Source organism: Homo sapiens, chromosome 9, assembly GCF_000001405.40.
Source record: "Homo sapiens chromosome 9, GRCh38.p14 Primary Assembly".
Taxonomy (NCBI): Eukaryota; Metazoa; Chordata; class Mammalia; order Primates; family Hominidae; genus Homo; species Homo sapiens.
This window is the reverse complement of record NC_000009.12, coordinates 94,995,889-95,013,937: the sequence shown is the minus strand read 5'-3', so window position 1 is coordinate 95,013,937 and position 18,049 is coordinate 94,995,889. Positions and strand designations below refer to the sequence as shown.

Below are 18,049 nucleotides of genomic sequence, written 5' to 3'. Positions count from 1 at the left end.
ACAATGAGACATATTAAACTAAAATTATTGGAATGTATAGAAAAAATCTGGGTGTCCAGGAAAAATGACCAGGTCACTCCCCAAGGGAAAGAAATGAGACCAGCATGAGACTTTATGTAGGATGACAATGGAGTAACAGACTTTAGATAATTAAATTAAAAAATATGAACCAAGGATTTCTTATTTAGCTGACATGACCTTCAGGTATAAACAGCACAAACTTAAAACATGCAAAAAACCAGGACTATAGCTGTTCTAAGCTCTTCCTGAGAATTCTACTAGAAAACAAGCTTCAGAATTGACTGAAAAGACATCAATCTAAAAGCAGATGATGAACATTAAATATAAACCACAGAATTAAAACTTAAGTGATTTTATAAAGGGTACAGCATAGTATGTAATGCCTATATGCTCTGACATTGTAGACACAGTCCAACCATCAAGAAGGGAATAATGAGGAGATTATATTGAAAATACAATCCTCCGGCCGACTGTCTTACAGGTATTTACAGGAAGTAAAAAAAAAAAAAAGGATAATATTTCAAGTTATATGATGGAAAATAAAGAGAGGAGGGGGAAGAAAAGGTAAATGACTGATTTATCACTCACAGCGGGAATCAATACACAAGAGCAGAAAAAAAAAGTATTACATCAAAGTAACCATTAAAACAAAAATAGATGCCTTCCTAAATGCCAAAAAAGGATAATACTTTTAAAAAATCATAAAACTAAGGGAAAAACTTGAAGTCAAACATATTGATTTTATTAATTATTATAAATGGGTTTAATTGGCCTACTGAGTAAAAGGATTTTCAGAGGAAAGCAAAGGTCACGTGACAAACTCAAGGGACACATGATTAGGTGGTACAGTTGGGACCAGTATAAGGTCTTTAGGAATCCAAGCTCTCTTTATAGAAAAGATAAGAGATAATCGCCCTGCCCCCCCCCCCAAAAAAAAAACAGGAAAACTCTACCAAATATACTTTGATGAAAACCTCTAACGTTAAAAAAAAAAAACAAAATAAATAAAAACCTGAATAGCGAAAAAAAAATTTTTAATGCAATAGCCAGGTATGAGTTTATAAAATAAATGCCATTTGTGGGATTCATTCATTTAATTCATTCAACAAATACTTATTGAGGCTGCATGTGGCCAGGCCTTTTTCTAAGTGTTGGAGATTAAAAGCTTGAGTTTAACTCTTCTGTGGGCACAGACCCTGAACATATATTTCCAGAAGGAAATATATGTTGGCTAGACTCGATACACGCTGCTGTCAGCCTCCTCCAATACAAGATGAATGGAAACAATGGCAGGCCTGAGCCCACACAGACATCAGTACGTGCTACAGAAAAAAATGCACCTTATTAGTGCCATATGAGACCCAGGCACAAAACAGCAGCTCCTTAAAATGTCGATGAGAATGACTGCCAAGTAAAGCATTCTGTCACAAGAATGAAACTAATACTGCCTATAAAAGTAACTAAAAAGCCACGAAATTTTTCTCTGCCTGCCTCCCTTTTCCAGCCGAACTCTAACATTTTATATAAAAATGGCTTTCATCTCTTATGGCATAGAAGAGTTGATGGCTGCTGGCATCAAACTTGCTAAAATCAATAGTAGTGTAATTATCAGCACACTTCCAAATGTTTTCAAATACATCCCGGCTGGGATTTTCCTAAATTAGATATGTGTGCTTTATGCTGGTGGTCTAGGATTGTCAATAACCTGCACTAAAGAGAATTTTCAAATATTGCCCAAAGCATTCTTTTTTATAGCAATTGTTTGACTTCTTTACACCTCACCCCTTTCAAAAAGTGTTTGATGCACTCTACAACATCCTAATGTCATATTGCTGGTTGTGATACTACTTTAATTGTACATTTACATGATCTGATACATGTAATGGATTTAGAACAGTGCTTGACACATGGGAAATGTTAGCTATTATGATATGAATAGTTCCATTCAAAGATTCTTTTTAAAATATGTGAATAAGTGTATGTGGGTAAGTGGATGATGATACTTTAACTTTCCTTATTATGCTAGTTAAAAACGGGAAGGAATTTTGTACACAGAAATCTTGGAACTTTTTTTTAAACTATAGATTTTTTTTGTTTTTGTTTTTGAGTTTGGGTCTTGCACTGTCACCCAGGCTGGTGTGTAGTGGCAGGATTACAGCTCACTATAACCTCTAACTCATTAACTCAAGCGATTCTACTGCCTCAACCTCCTGAGTGGCTGGGACTACAGCCATGTACCATCATACCTAATTTTTACTTCCTTTATGTTTTGTAGTGATGGGGTCTCTCTATGTTGCCCAAGCTGTCTCGAACTCCTGGTGTGAAGTGATCCTCCTGCCTCAGTCTCCCAAAGTGCTTGGATTACAGGCGTGAGTTACCATGCCCAGCAAAACGGCAGTCTTAAAAAAATACATCAGCTGTGCGCGGTGGCTCATGTCTGTAATCCCAGCACTTTGGGAGGCCGAGGTGGGCGGATCACGAGGTCAGGAGATAGAGACCATCCTGGCTAACACGGTGAAACCCCATCTCTACTAAAAACAAAAAAAATTAGCCGGGCATGGGGCGTGGTGGCACGTGCCTGTAGTCCCAGCTACTCGGGAGGCTGAGGCAGAAGAATCGCTGGAACCCGCGAGGTGGAGGTCACTGCACTCCAGCCTGGGGGACAGAGTGAGACTTCGTATCAAAAAAAAAAAAAAAAAAAAAAATCAATGGCTAGGGAAATTAGGAAAAATAAGTAAATCTATACAACAGATAAAAATTTAACAGTAAATTATACAGATCAGATTTCCTTCCTGAGGCTACCAAAAATACCTTTTATCAGCAATTATTCCTTGGTCCAGCTTAAAAAAATATATAGCAAACAAAGCTAAGACTTTGTGAAACCTCATCTAAAATGAGACCTGGGTACAGAAACTTTAATACATTATTTATTAGGGATTTACAAGGGAAAATCAGAGACCCACAAATAGGACCAAGAATCTCAAATGAGTTCCAAATATTTCAGCAATAAAGTAACGAATTGCGTATTAACAGCACTGTAATTACTCCTTTTGTTTGGTTTCTTTGTAATTACTTTTAATAAATTATTCTGCCTCCCCCCATCACTCAAGTAAGTTGCCATCCAAAGGCACAATCAGTACAACACAGGATACAAAGCCACTCACAGTTAGGGAGGAAGGGATGAAGGGAGGGAAAACGGGTAGGCTGGTGCTTCAAGAGCCGTGACTCACTAGAATCCATAAAGCTTTTCTATGGAAATCAAGTATCAATGAAGCTATTGTAAGAGATTACGGCTATATAAATGTAGACTAGTTATGAATTCTCACAGAGCAATGGCACTCTCAAAAAGAGGCAAGGGCACCAACGCCTGGGAAAGCACTCAACTGCAATGTTGCCTCAGTGGCATAAGAGTGGCTGCCTAAGCCTACTATTTGCTGAAAGCGGGGTAGTTCCTACAAAGTGAAGGGACCCTCAGCTCAGCACTCCATAGGTTCATTCTGTGCCATTTTGCTAAGCTTTGTGTGCTGATGGCTCTGGAGTCAAGCCTACCACAGTCACCATCTGTTGTTTTGGGTCCAAGAAAGAGCCAAATAATTTTTATTAGTCTTAATATTCATTTTCAGAGATCATAAACTGAACATAAAATATACCTTTGTAACAAAAGACAAACACAGCAGTACTTTGTTAAATAGTTTAAAATTTGTACCTACCTTTATCATTTTGAATAATATTAGTACTGTAATAAAAGTATTCTCTTACAATATATAAAATTTAAAAGGAACAATAAACGCTAAAAAATGCATAAACCAAATTGGATTTTATATACAATTTTTTAAATCTGAATTATTATTCAAACTAAGATTATCACTGATTTTGGTTCAGAGTCAAGTATGTACAAGGAACAAATGAAATAGAAGTAGAGTGAAAATACTCTAGAATTTAGGAATATATTATAACAAGGAAAATCTTTTTTTTTTTCACTTAAAAGACTTGGAAAACAGAATTTATCATTTGGGCTCAATGAAAATGCCCACTAGATACTATAAAGTCTATACTTTTCACAACCATCCTTCTAGATCTTTATGTTTCACTTTGAATACATGAAGGAAAATTTCAGGAAATTTTTAACAATTGGAACACTGAGTAGCTCAAGAGTATTGTTTTTTGGGTTCTGGCAGAAAAGAATTATGAAGGTAACATTGAAGTGCGCTGTTGTTGGAAACCATTTGCACCATGTTTGTTGTGACTAATCCTAACAGACAGCTGACAATCTCACCCCAGCCAAGACCACTCGCTTGGAAACGCTAATACACGTAATAGCCAACCTTAGCATGGCTGAATTTTCAATGATTTGAAAGTGAGCCAATGAATACTTCTGACATCATCATACACACTTACTGAAGACCTGAAATGAGCACTGTAAAACTAGTTCTCCGCTTACTATATATATAGACTAGGAAGGGTGCTTCCTTTGAATCTGAAAATTGAAATTTTCTTCCTCTAAAGGAATCATATACCAGTCATATATTTTCCATAAGTATATTATTTCATAAAAGACTATTCTACTATACATTCTAATCCTTAGAATATTGATAAAAGAGTTACTAAATCTTTATATTATATGTATATATTTATAAAAACATTCCTTAATCTGTGATGGCACACAATTTTATCTTTGAATCAGCTAACGAAGGTAAAAAAAAAGAAAAAAAAGTGCATTCCTCTTCCAAAACCAATAGCCATTTAGTGAAATCTATTAGTTTAAAAACACACATAAAATCCACTGTTGCAATCACAACCGTTCATCCTGTCCTTTGCACAGCTGGCTGATCCAATCATCCTAATTGTTCTTCGTTAGTTATTCATACTTTCCTTGTTTTTCTGTTGCAAAAATTATTCAAACTAAATGAAAGGAACTTGAAATAATAAAAAAGAGTATCAGAATAGAAGAAAAAAATACCTGAGGACCAGAAGTAGAAGAGGTGAGTTTTGTCATTTTAAACGAAAAACAAAATATAAAAGAATTCAGTCATACCAGGAGAACAAGGGCTAAAATATGAAACTAAAATAAAATGGAAATAAATGTCAGAGAAAATATGAAAAGACGCATGAGACAGAATGATGCATCTTCAGAGAGATAAGAAATGAAGCCTGTTAGGACAACACAGAAAGATGGCACAATTCTCTGGTGGGTGGGATGACTGGAAGCAGAAGGCGGGGAAAGGCCGGCAGAGCACTTTACATCACTTTATCTGCATGGTACATCTCAGTCCCCAATTTACTTTATTTCACTATTCGTTATTTTAACCCACAGCTGAGCACAGGGTGAGTTTGTTTTGCTTCCCCTTGTGAGTTCACTGAAAAACTCAACTAGTATTTCAGGTTACATCAGACTGTGCCTACTACTCAGCACCTTCGAGATTTTCTTTAAGGGGAAAACAAACATCCCTGGAAGATGCCGTTCTACCGTGTAGCTCCTTGCTCAGCGCCCGTGGTCAGAGTCCGTCCTCTCACTAGAGCACTGTTTTCCTTTCCCGGGCAGGTCAGAGGTTCTGCTTTCCACACGGCAGGAAAAAAGCTGCCCCCTCCTATCGGAGGAAAAAGGTTGTGACCCCCAGCAGAGTTAGTACAGATGACTTCACCGAATTTACTCATCTAGGCTGAATCCTGAGAGAAGCCTGCAGGTGTAGACAGACCCTTCGGGGCTGGAGGCAAGGGCAATGTGGAGGGGATGAACGGAGGCAAGGAAAACAAAGTAGACAATCAAAAGCAATGGCTACATTTCAAAGCGGCATCTACCAGAAATGACTAAGATTCATTTTATTTTACACTAATACAAAATGAATAAAATCAGAAAATACCATAGCTTTATTTTAACACAGAAGAAAAATATAGTGGATGCAGGAAAAAAGAGAAATTGAATAATCTGCTTCTACTTGTGACATGGCAAACGTTTTTAAAAATAACTTATTAGACTCAACAGCAAGTGAACTGCGTCGGCTCCTACTAATAACAGGTTCAAATCCTAGCAAAAGGTTAACACATAGACCTTGGAATGAATACACATGATCACAAAGCTCAATTTCTATTTCAGAATAGGGGGAAGGCCCTTGGAAATATCGCATGTTTTGCCTCAGCAAGCTCTGAATCTTCTCCTAGGTGTGGCAGAAGCAAAACAGTGAGCAAAAGGGCTTGGAAGTGCTGTGCAGAGCCAAGAGAAACATTGGAAACACTGACAGTTCATATTCTCTGATATGACTCTGAAATTTGCTATCTTCTAGCCCTTCCTCACCTCCACCCTCAAACCTCCTCAGCTTTAAGTTTCAATCCATGAAAGGAAGTTCTGAATGTTGGTTTCAACCTACTCCATTTTCATGTTCTCTTTAAAATTGCTGCCCACATTTTCCAAGAAAAAAAGTGAGAGGCAAATCTTCCCCCTAAGTTTTAACGCAAGAGCTTGTATCAAGAGGAAACGGTTGGGCAAAGAACTTCATTCTCCTGCAAGGTAAAATAATCAGTCCCCCCCCCACTTTCTCCCCACCCCGATTCTCAGGAGACCCAGTAGTCAGGTCATGGGTGTCACAAATACGGTTACTTCTAGGTTAGATTTTGGTAGTGACAACATCTAGTAATCCACAAAGATAATGGCTTCCCCTTCCTTTCTACAGCACATTGTGCATTTTGGTAATCTTATTTTTGGCTTAAAAATTAACAGCTGGCAGGGTGCAGTGGCTCACGCCTGTAATCCCAGCACTTTGGGACACCGAGGCGGGCAGATCACGAAGTCAGGAGATCGAGACCATCCTGGCTAACACAGTGAAACCCCGTCTCTACTAAAAATACAAAAATTAGCAGGGTGTGGTGCCATGTGCCTGTAGTTCCAGCTATTCGGGAGGCTGAGGCAGAAGAATAGCTTGAACCTGGGAGGCCGAGGCTTCAATGAGCCGAGATCACGCCACTGCACTCCAGCCTGGGTGACAGAGCAAGACTCCGTCTCAAAAAAAAAAAAAAAAAATTAACAGCAACGACACATTTTTTAAAAAATACCAAGCAAGCCATAATTCTTTTCCTTCTTTGGGTATTTTATGATCTCATTCATCACCTCACAAACATTTAAAAAAACACCTAAACCATTAAACACAACTTACCATACCATGCTGAGGTATGGTCAGAAAACTCAAGTCTGTTCCAAATCACAACTTTTTCTATTATTCTTCAACTGAAGTGACATATATGACCCTCTGTGGAAAAAGAAAAGGGGTGGGGTCCCCCTTTTCATGCACACTGAAAGTCCAGCTACAAACAACTATATTCGCAGGCTGGTTCCTTTTCCAGCTCTCTCAGAAGCTGCCCTCTGGTATCCTGACGTGCACTCTGCAGCTCTGGGATCACCTTTATTCTGATGTGCTTTGTGCACATTCTCGGACGCTGCAATGCCCATACTAAGGCAACATAGCACAGAAATTGGCAGCAATGCTATCAGCAAGAATTTGGCTTCAGAATCAAGAGTGATTCATCATACATTCTAGCAGCAGAAAAACACACCGCTATTTTAATCCCTTGCTGGTATCAAGAATCAAAAAACAGTGAAATGTAATTAAGCAAAAGCAACAAAAAAACCTATCTGCTGTAATATTTGTCAAAAAATTATTCACTTTTACGAGTTTTCCGCAAGTCACTTAGAAAACAACGGGCTACTTACCTTATTTCATGATATTACAATGACAAATCAAGTTTTAATACAAAATCAAAAGACAGGCAGTCCAAACTTCTGCAAAGTAACATACTGAAATTCTAAACTTGGGCAAACAAATTTCTCATCTGCTTTACAGTAAATAAAATTCCTCCTAGTGTTTTAAAAGTAATCCACTTCTTTCTTCTTCTCTCTCTATTTCTTAGATGACTCCAATTTAAAGTCTAGGTGAGAGAAAGTACAGCATGGAAACCTAATACTGTGGGCGATTTATTCGGAACACTTTTCATTTTTCAGAGGTACCTTAACACTGAGATAATAAACACTGCTGATCTAAAATAATAATGGAACCCACTTAAGTCCGATTGCTGTATTTAATGAGCATGAAACAAATTTCATGGGCTACTCTCTCCTAATGAGACTATATAAATGATCATTAGCCTTATCGACCAATATTTCTGTAGAATTTCCCCATATATTAAATCTATGGTTTATTATAACAAAAACTTTTTAAATTAAACACTACTCTATTGTCATGACCAGGTCCTCACGGGGCAGAAGCGGATTTACCAAGACCTGCACCGAGTACCGTCTCGGGAACCCCTACCTTTTCAAACACCTCTTCCTTCTCCCTGCGCTTCCGTTTTCGGGGTCTCCGGTTCACTCCAATCCATTTCGTGACCTGAGGTTCAAAAACCACAGCATTTCAAAGAAGGCGACAGGGTCCTGACGGCCATCCCCCAGCGCGAGAAAGCAGAGACCCCCGGCCTCGCGACCTGGTCTTCCCCGCACCTCGGGAGGCCACCCGCGCCCGCCCGCGGAACTCGCCGGGCGCCTCACCGCAGGGGCCGCGACCTTCGTCACGGCCGCTCCCCGCGCCCGAGCCGGAGCCTGGCGGGTAGTCCCCGCACCCGCGCGCCGCAGCGCAGAGCCAGGGCCTCTCGCCAGCCGCGGTCTCGCGCCGGCGCCACCGGGGCGCAGGGACCGCGCCGCCCGCACTCACCTCGGCGCGCACTTGCCGCGCAAGCCCGCACTCCGCCCCGGCGCGACGCTCCCTCTGCAGCGGCTGCGGGGGAAGAGGACACAGTCAAGTTTACCGCGGGAGCGGCCCCGGCCTCCCTGCCCCGCGCCCGCTAACTCGGCGTGCCCGCCCCGTACCTCGCCCGCGGCCGGGGAGGACGCAGCGGCGGCGCCGGAGCCCGCGCCCTGCGCCCGCCCGGGGTCCGCATCACCTCAGGCGCGGCGCGGGCGGCGGGCGCGGGGCCTGGGCGGCGGCGCGGGCGGGCGGGCGGGCACCGAGCGGGGGCGGGGCCTGCCTTAAAGGTATAGCGGCCGCGCCGCCTCCCGCAGGTCGCCCTCCCGCCCGCGCCGGCATTGTATTGTTCTCCCCACGAACGGCGTGCTCCCGCTCCCGGGCTCCGGCCGCCCCGCGCCCCCGCGCACCTTGCCCCCGCCACCCCTCCCCGGGCTCCGGCCGCCCCGCGCCCCCGCGCACCTTGCCCCCGCCACCCCTCCCCCGGCTCCGCGCCCTGCGAGCGGCTTCCCGGCAGCGAGAGGGGCCCGCGCCGCCCGCCGCAGGCTGGAGGGAGCGGTGGCGGGGAAGGAACCCCGCCCGTAGCCAGCGTAGCGCGCTCCTGGAGTCGGAAACCTGGTCCCGGTGGCTTTCGCGCAGGGAAAGTAACTTTCCTAGTGGAGTTTTCTCCGGGACCGGGTTCTACGCCCTCGAGTAGACGTTTCCCAGTGGCCCCTCGGGGCTCCGGGCAGCGGCAGGTGACCTCCCGGGGGGCGAGGCCAGGGCGCAGAGAAACCCAGCCCCGCGCTCCCGCGAGTGTGGACCCGCAGCCCTCAGACTGCCGTGGACCCCCAGAACCACTGGGTAGAATTTAAAAAGAAGGGGTCAATCTGTTTTCATAATTAGGGAGAAAGTTTACACTTACTTTATAAAAATGTGCGATACCCCAAGATTTTCCTCCACCCGCCAAAGGCCTTCTCATCCGCATCAGCAGTTGCTGGAACCCGCCTGCCGGTGAGGGCGGGCCGGGGCGGAGAGTCGGGTTGTCCTGTTGCTTGCTGGGTCTTGACCATCCCTTTAACTTTATCACATTTCTTTAAAGAAAATCTGTCTTGCCCTCTCTTTATTGCTACTCCATCCTTCTTTCAAGATCAAAAGGTTTAGATCAAAGCCAAGATCAAACTCACTACTTTAAATAGCAGCAACTTTGCCATGGAGTATTTTACACAGAGGAGCTTAATGGAGACATCAGGAATTTATCCCTTCATTCCATATTCATAACTGGACTACTTAAAATTACACGGATGATGTATGTCTATTTCCTAAAACAAACAACAAGTCTGCTCAAATGAGGGATTCTTACTGTTTCCAGGAATACAAAAAAGTTGAAATCTAGAGAGCAATATAAATAGACGTGTTAACCATTTTGCGTCATTATTATAATAGCTAAGTGCTACGAAATGTGTGCTCATTTGCTAGAGATTTTTCAATGTGTTATTATATCTTTTAGTATAGACTGTACAGCCATCATATACAATTTTTTACTGTAAAGGAAATATATATAAATAGTTAATGGTTTGGAAATCTTGCACATAGGCAGGTAAATAATTATAAATGGTGAAGTGGATTATTCTGAGCTGCTTAATTTTAAAGGGAAAGAGAACTTTAAACTCTTCAACCTTTTATGCTGCTAATAAGAGTTCCACAATCAATAGAAATCTATCTTGGCAGGCACTTCCTTTTACCCACTAGAATTTTTTTCCTTGGGAGTTCACGATCCCCAGAAACTGTGATATGAGCCATTCAATATTGATGTACTAAAACAGTGCTCTGCTTAAATACAGTTTTTCAACATACAGTCTTGGAAGAAACAAAATCCAAAATAAATTCCAATAGTCCAGTAACAGGAATAAAGACAACTATTGCAAATTAAATCTTACAGACTTATATGAAAGCTGTTGTTAACAGCTGGGTACTAGTTATTTGAAAAGTTTTTTCCCTTTGCAGTTTTTAACTGGTTGCAGTCACACACGCGCGCGCGCGCGCACACACACACACACACACACACATTCTTAATTCTATAAATCCCATTGAACCACTGGAAAGATCTTAGAAACTGAGACCTGGAAACCCTGTCTTGCTCTGCTACTGACACAGTCTCCTTTCTTCCTAGCACCCAGATCATGGATAACCTAACGGTTTCCGGCATGAGCTGAACAAAGGAAACAGCCTACTGTCACTCTGCTCTTCTAGGATTTTGCTAAGTAGGAAGCAAAAGCTGTGACCCATCCTAATTGCCTCTTGTCTCGTTTGTCCTTTGTCCCCCAACTCTCCTCCCAATTGCCATCCCAGAATCCATCCTCCACAGAGAAGCCAGAATGGTACGTCCAAAGGTAATTCAAATGATACCACTTTGCTTCACTGAGAATGCTTTTCCATCTCTTCTTTGCGTGGTAGCCCACTTATCCTCTAGTTCTGGGTTTAAGCAGCGCTTTTGCAGAAAGGTCTTTCCTTACTCCCCAGTCCAAATTATGTCACTCCACTATACTTTCTAATAACATTCTGTTTATTTCCTTTAGAGTGATTCTTAGAGCAGTTTTAAGTTTATAGAAAAACTGAGCAGAAAGCAGAGTTCCCATATTTGTACCCACTCACCAGCTTCCCCATATTTAACATATTGCATTAGTATATTTATTATAACTGAGGAACCAATATTGATACATTATTATTCACTAAAGTCAAATTTACATTAGGGCTCACTCTGTGATGTTCAGTTATTATAGCTCTTTTAAAAATGTACTGAACGTCTCTCTCCCCAGCTGGATTTTATGCCCCAAGAAGAAAGAGATCCCGTATCTTTTGTTCTTGATTTTTGTTCAGTCCACCAGAAACATTGCCTGGCATATACTAGAAATTCAATAAATATGTTATATAGTGAATGGAAGGATAAAGGAACAAATGAAGGACACCTAAAATTTCAAGGGGGAGAAGTCTTAAAATGAATATCTTTCTAATTACCTCCTGTTTGTTTCACCACTAAAATGCTTAATTTGTAAAGAGGCTAGAATTTTACATTTTTACAAAAGGGAGACCATGGGATATTAGTTATATTGCCAGGGTAACTTTATAAACAGGCTGTGCACGGTGGCTCACACCTGTAATCCCCGCACTTTGGGAGGCCGGGGTGGGAGGATCTCTTGAGCCTAAGAGTTCAACACCATCCTGGGCAACATAGCAAGACCCCTGTCTCTACAAAAAAAAAAAAAATCAGCCAGGCATGGTGGTGTTAGCCTGCGGTACCAGCTATCTGGGAGGGTGAGGTGGGAGGATCACTTGAGCCCGGGAGGCAGAGGCTACGGTGAGCCATGATGGCACCACTGCACTCCAGCCTGGGCAACAGAGTGAGATCCTGCCTCAAAAAAATATTAATAAGTAAATAACGATAAATTTTAAAAAATTGAAATGAGAAAGGTTCCTAATTCTGTCACATATGAATCACTAAAATTATATTCCAGCATGGTGCTACAAGCTGAATTTAATCTAGAATGAAAGATTTACATATTGCATGACACGGAAAAAATACTTTTCTATTGTGTTCAATCCAGCCTGAACACATTTCTCCTGTTGTCTACCTGAATCTCCCCTTCTTCACAGGCTGATGCCAATGAAGGTAGGGTGTAGAGAAACTGGAAGACCGCTTTTTTAAAAACTGGAATTCTATAGTGGGGGACAGGTATTCTAATTACTGTCTTTGAGAATGTAGTAAAAGCACTTTAAAGCTGTCTCTTAAAACAGATGTTTTCTATCTGAATTGTATCTTTAAAAATGCCTCATCCAGTAGATACGCATGTTTTGAAAGGAAGTTGTTCTAAGAAACTTTTTTTGTCAAAGCAGTTCATAATAGCTGAAGACAACGTCCGAGGCTGAGGAAAATACCATTGCTTTAAAATTATTTAACCTCGTGATTGATTGGAGATTACTTTTGGAGGGAAAGCCTTTTTCAGTTTTCTTCCTTTTCTTAGACAAAGAAGAAATTCCTCCTATCACTGGAAAAATACAGTGAGACCAACTTCACATTGTTACGGGTGTGTTTTCTCTTCCTGCTTCTACTTCATGGAGGGGGCACAGGACAGAGGAAGGAAGAGGAGCCAGCCTTCCTAGGCACCAGGAAGGCCACAGGGCAAGCAAGGGGCTCTTCAATGTTCCCAAACAGCCACAGATGGCAAATTACATTCCCTCAGGCACAGCGGAGGGAAAACTATCCACTAAAAGAAACCGAAAGATCTTTCAATACCAAACAAGGTCGAGAGTTCCAGAAGCTTCCACTGGTTTCAGAAGCGTTCTATTGCCAACATACGTTCAGGGTGAATTTAAAAGTAGGAATCTACACACGTCTAGAAATAAAATCAAGGTTGGATTAAGTTTCAAAAATAACAGAGGGATTAGGAGCAAAATTATCAAATATTTATATCTTTAAATTTGGTTTATTTATTTATTTATTTTGAGACAATGTCTTGCTCTTGTCACCTAGGCTGGAGTGCAATGGTGCAATCTTGGCTCACTGCAACCTCTGCCTCCCAGGCTCAAGCGATTCTCCTGCCTCAGCCTCCCCAGTAGCTGGGATTACAGGCGCCTGCCACCACGTCCAGCTAATTTTTATACTTTTAGTAGAGACAGGGTTTCACCATGTTGGCCAGGCTGGTCTCAAACTTCTGATCTCAGGTGATCCACCCACCTTGGCCTCCCAAAGTGCTGAGATTACAGACGTGAGCCACCGTGACCGGCCATCTATTATTTTTAAATGTAACATCCTTTATGTAATATTTTTGGATGATTTTAGAAAAATTATAAATTAATCCAAAAAATATAAAAGATGCTACATAAAGGATGTTTAGAGGGTTGTTTATTACATTAGATAGTAATTTTCTATGAGGAGCCACAGGACAGTCTTCTCCCTGGCGTCAGCATCAGGAATAGTTGGACTTGATCAGCTGGTTTGTTTTTACCTGTTATTTGTATTATTTTTATTTGCCCATTTTGTCTCTCTCTTAAATAAACACCTAGTTGTTGTTGTCATTGTTTTTTTTTAGGAGGATTTTGGCCCTGCCAAACGGACCTCTTAGTGGAAGTCCTTACAAAGCATAATTTTCAAAAAAGGAAGTCAGTTTCATGCTTGGCGTAGTGGATTGCTGAGGCTATGGTTCTGCAGTGAACCAGCTAACAGACCTTCTTTCTCTCAGTAACCATAACCTGAGCTCACTGCTGCTAAAAACGTTTACAGAGATCAACTGAGGGAACATGTACAATGCTTAGTTCTTCCATTTCTTGACCCCCTCTGAGATTCTAATGAAGGCTAATGGTGCTATCAGCTCCTTAGAAAAAAATACACCTACAGCACACACACATGCATGCACACACACACACACACCCCAATTGTCAGGATGTTCACAGATTCTTCTGTACCTAAACTTGTAGTCTGGATACTCTAAAATCCCTTCTTGGAATAAGCCAGACCACTTTTAAAGCTGGCCCTGGACTTGGTCTTATGGGCACTCTGTGAAAGTCCTGTTATCGCATTAAGTTCTGGTAAGAAGCCATCAACATTTATTGAGGTGCATTATAAGAAACAGCCCCATAAAATCCATCACAATGTTTACCGGAAGGATGGATTTAGAGGGTTGTTTATTCCATTAGATAGTAATTTTCTGTGAGGAGCCATAGGACAATCTTCTTCCTGGTATCAGCATCAGGAATAGTCGGACTTAGGCAGCTTTTTTGTTTTTACTTCTTGAATATTGCAATTTATCCCTTTTCCCTCTTCTAGAAAGCTTGGAGTTCTGTGACCCTGTTTAACCAGGCATAGGAACTTCAGGGTGTGCATATTATGTGCTAATTTAATTCCTGGCCCCATCCTTTTTTTTCTACCATTATTTTCATGTTGCTTCATTTTTCTTGTTTTATTTCTATCATGTTATATTTATCTGTTTTGGAAGCTGCCTTCACTCCATTTTGGACAGGGAAGAGGATAACTCAATAAAGTATTCTGGGTTTTTTGGGGTTTTTTGTTTTTTTTTAATTTCCTTTTTCTCTTTGGATGGGAGAAGGGAGGATCTGGGAAAATCTTATGGTTCTAAGATTTATCTCCATTAACAACGTTTAGAAGTAAAGTACAGGAGTTAAGGATGTATGACTGTTCTTAACTTATAACTCTACTTATAAAATTCTATGAAAAGAACTGTCAAAATATATAATACTACGCAGATATAATACTATACAGACATCATCAAATAAACATAATACTATACAGGACTATTACAAAAAGGCTAACCAACCAAATATTTTACTTCTTGGTATCAAAACCAGAAGAAAGGGGCTTAGATTATGGAGAGAATAATGTAAGTTGAACATATGGACAGGTTATTCACATAAAAGACATATTAAATGCCTACTGTGAAACAGAGCACTAGATTTCGTGAATGCAAAGATGAGTAAGACGTTGTCCCTGTCCTCAGGAAACTCCTGTGACAACGCAGTAATACAGCAAGGTATAAGGAGCACACAGCCGGCTTGCCTAGTAGCTGTGTGGCCCCTCTAAGCCTCCTTCCTCATAAAGTTCTGATCAAATGACATGTAATTTGCTTAGAACAAGAAGCAGTTGTTATTTATCAACTTCTAAATGACTAGAATTAAGAAGCAATACAACATTACCAGAAGCTGGAGGGAAGTGACTTTAAGACAAAAAAAGTATTGAAGCACCCCTACCAGAGAGCACAGGACCTTAGACTGCTAGAGAGAAGAAGAGTGGCAATTACCTACAGAACTGAAGGCTTTACAAAGTGCTTCCATATACAGACTGTTCTGCTCGTTCCTCACACAGTCCCATCTGAAAGATGGAAAAACTGAGTCTCAGGGGATTTCATATCGCTTGGCCCCTAGGTCTCCTGGTTGGAAATGGAATACTCTTTCTACTCCAGCGTGAGTACTTACGGAACATCTAGTGTGACTGTCTCACTTTAACATATTTGTTCATTATATGGATTAGATCAACCCCAGATGACAACATAGGCTGGAAAATATAATTCCATACCATAAAAGTCTACTGAAAAATACATTCTAAAAAGCAGACATTATTATATTCCCTTCAATGCCTGTTACAACTGCAGTTATTTACAGGGCTTGATATTCATGGACATTATAACCTTAAAGAGTTTTCAGCTGTGTGTGGTGGCTCATGCCTGTAATGCTAGCACTTCGGGAGGCTGAGGTGGGAGGATCACTTGAGGCCAGGAGTTCAAGACCAGCCTGGGCAACATAGTGAGATCCCATCTCTACAAAAAATGAAAATAAAAAATTAGCTGGGCACGGTGGCGTATGCCTCTAGTCCCAGGTACTCAGGAGGCTGAGGCAGAAGTATCGCTTGAGCCCTGGAGTTTGAGGCTCCAGTGAGCCACTGTTGTGCCACCGCACTCCAGCCTGGGTAATAGAGCAAGACTCTGTCTCAAAAAAAACAAAATTTCACAGGTGAAATATAAAATGATGTAAGGGTGCCTTTAGATCAGTGGTTTCTACTCTCGAGTGCTTATTAGAGTCACCAGAAGGTGTTTTACAAATCTCAATGCCCAGGTGACCACTTAGGTTCACATCTCTGAGAGTGGGACCCAGACATCAGTCATTTCTGAAGCACCTCCACCCCTCAGGATTCCAATGTGCAGGTAGCATTGAGAACCACTGCCTTAGATAATTTTAATGATGCCCCATCTCAAATAGGTTACTATGGAAAAAATTCCAGATGCTTGGGAGACATCTAAATTTCAAAGTCAATGCCACAGATGATAGCCACTCACTATGCTTTACTACAGTAAGTCCAATTTGGCAGATGGCAGACACAATGTTGGGCAGGATGGGCTGGTGGTCCAAACCAGGAGTCACTTCCTGCAGCTTACACCAAGGGATAAAATTTTGGGCAAGATGAGTTAAGCACACACACAAAAAGAACTAAAAAGAAGTGGAAGATTTCAACATTCTACCCAGAAGGGAGGCAACAATGGGCAGATATCTGACTTTTTTTCTCTAAAGCTAATACAGTTCTGGGTCCTTAGCGAAAAGTGCATACATCCTTATCTTTAGGAACCCAATCTTAGTGCTGACCTGCAATACTGTAAACATGAAGGTGGTATTTCCAACTCATCATCTGTAGATGATGTTCTAATTATGCTGAGGGCTGCCATCCATTCCCTTGAAATGAACATCTGCATTTGGAAGATTGCTGGCTAGAATTAGGGGACAGTGTGCACCAATGGAAAAGACCCTTTGCTGTGTGCAAAAGGTATTGTTCCATTCAGGAAGCAACCCATGCTGACTTCCTCCAGTCTTGAGCACTGTGCTCTAACCACATGGGCTCTATTGTTTAGAAAACACACACACATATATTGCTGCTATAGGAAAATTATTCTGACAAAATGCCTTACAAAAAGGGATTAGTTACTACTGAAAAACACAAAAATATCAGATGTTGATATTTCACCAGCTTGAAAAGCAAACAACCATGTCTAGGTACTTTCCCGTTATTTCCTAAGATAGAGCAGGTGTGGTATCTGGAAGTGTGGGCACATGGACATGTGGATGCTCCACAGTGCCTCTGAAGGAGGGGACGTGATGGGAGTCTGTGGCCCTGGCAGGTCGAGTTTTAAAAAGCTTGGCACTCAGACTGTGTGGCTTGTTATATATCCTCCAAAAGAAAACCAATGAAGTCACAACTTGCAACAAGAGGAATGGGCCTGATTCATCCATCCCTTGATGAAGAAGTAAAATCTCTCTCTCACACACACACACACACACACACACACACACACACACACACAGAGGCAAGTAAAATCCACCACATGTGGGGGGTGGAGTGGCTGTTCCAAATATAAATAAGATATGAGAGAAAGCTATTTTCCAGAATGTTTGTTCACCAAACATTCAGTGCCATACAAGGAGGTGTTCCAGGAAAACAATGGGAAGGGCCAGAATTAATTGGCTGCTAATCTCTTCACTTTTTGTAGGATGTTTTCTCCAGCGGTGGATGAAATCAGTGTTTAATGCTACACAGGCCGAGCTGTGTCCATATAAGGAAAGCCCAGGCTCACGTCTCTCCGTGAAAAAGGACCTGTCCTCCCCTCCCTGTGTTCTGCTTCCACCCCCTGCATGTGGAGGTGGAGAGTGGGAGCCGGGGAATGTGAACTTGATCCAGCACTGATCAGCCAAGCAGCAAACTCTCATTGTTCTTTAGATACCAAACATAACTTCTTTCTACTAGGGATAAACCCAGCCATTCTGTA

At 41.7% G+C, this 18,049-nt stretch overlaps 1 protein-coding gene across 43 annotated transcripts in view, besides 4 other annotated features; it reads right to left on the bottom strand.

Moving 5' to 3' along the window:
* AOPEP (aminopeptidase O (putative)) overlaps window positions 1-18,049 on the bottom strand; it is a 423,526-nt gene that overhangs the window by 136,287 nt on the left and 269,190 nt on the right. For 37 of the 43 annotated variants that reach the window (NR_169862.1, NR_169863.2, NR_169864.1 and 34 more), the window contains 2 exons: window positions 8,718-8,780; window positions 8,322-8,396 (listed from right to left, as the gene is read on the bottom strand). The exons of 1 other annotated variant lie outside the window; for it this stretch is intronic. Coding sequence is in view for 31 of the 42 variants with exons in the window: in XM_011519121.4 (XP_011517423.1) it covers window positions 8,322-8,396; window positions 8,718-8,780 (138 nt within the window). In the remaining 11 variants the exon portion in view is untranslated. Of the gene's footprint in view, window positions 1-8,321; window positions 8,397-8,554; window positions 8,781-18,049 lie in introns of all 43 variants that reach the window. 5 more of the 43 variants (XR_007061363.1, XM_047423983.1, XM_047423981.1 and 2 more) reach the window with 1 other exon arrangement.
* Window positions 8,598-8,887: a silencer, noted in NCBI's record as "silent region_20061". NCBI's record gives its function as "represses an Ori minimal core promoter by ATAC-STARR-seq in GM12878 lymphoblastoid cells {active_cell/tissue: GM12878}" and the evidence as "EXISTENCE:reporter gene assay evidence [ECO:0000049][PMID:35858748]".
* Window positions 8,978-9,167: a silencer, noted in NCBI's record as "silent region_20060". NCBI's record gives its function as "represses an Ori minimal core promoter by ATAC-STARR-seq in GM12878 lymphoblastoid cells {active_cell/tissue: GM12878}" and the evidence as "EXISTENCE:reporter gene assay evidence [ECO:0000049][PMID:35858748]".
* Window positions 9,178-9,427: a silencer, noted in NCBI's record as "silent region_20059". NCBI's record gives its function as "represses an Ori minimal core promoter by ATAC-STARR-seq in GM12878 lymphoblastoid cells {active_cell/tissue: GM12878}" and the evidence as "EXISTENCE:reporter gene assay evidence [ECO:0000049][PMID:35858748]".
* Window positions 17,737-18,031: a silencer, noted in NCBI's record as "tiled region #14176; K562 Repressive non-DNase unmatched - State 23:Low". NCBI's record gives its function as "represses a minimal TATA promoter and a strong SV40 promoter by Sharpr-MPRA in K562 cells {active_cell/tissue: K562}" and the evidence as "EXISTENCE:reporter gene assay evidence [ECO:0000049][PMID:27701403]".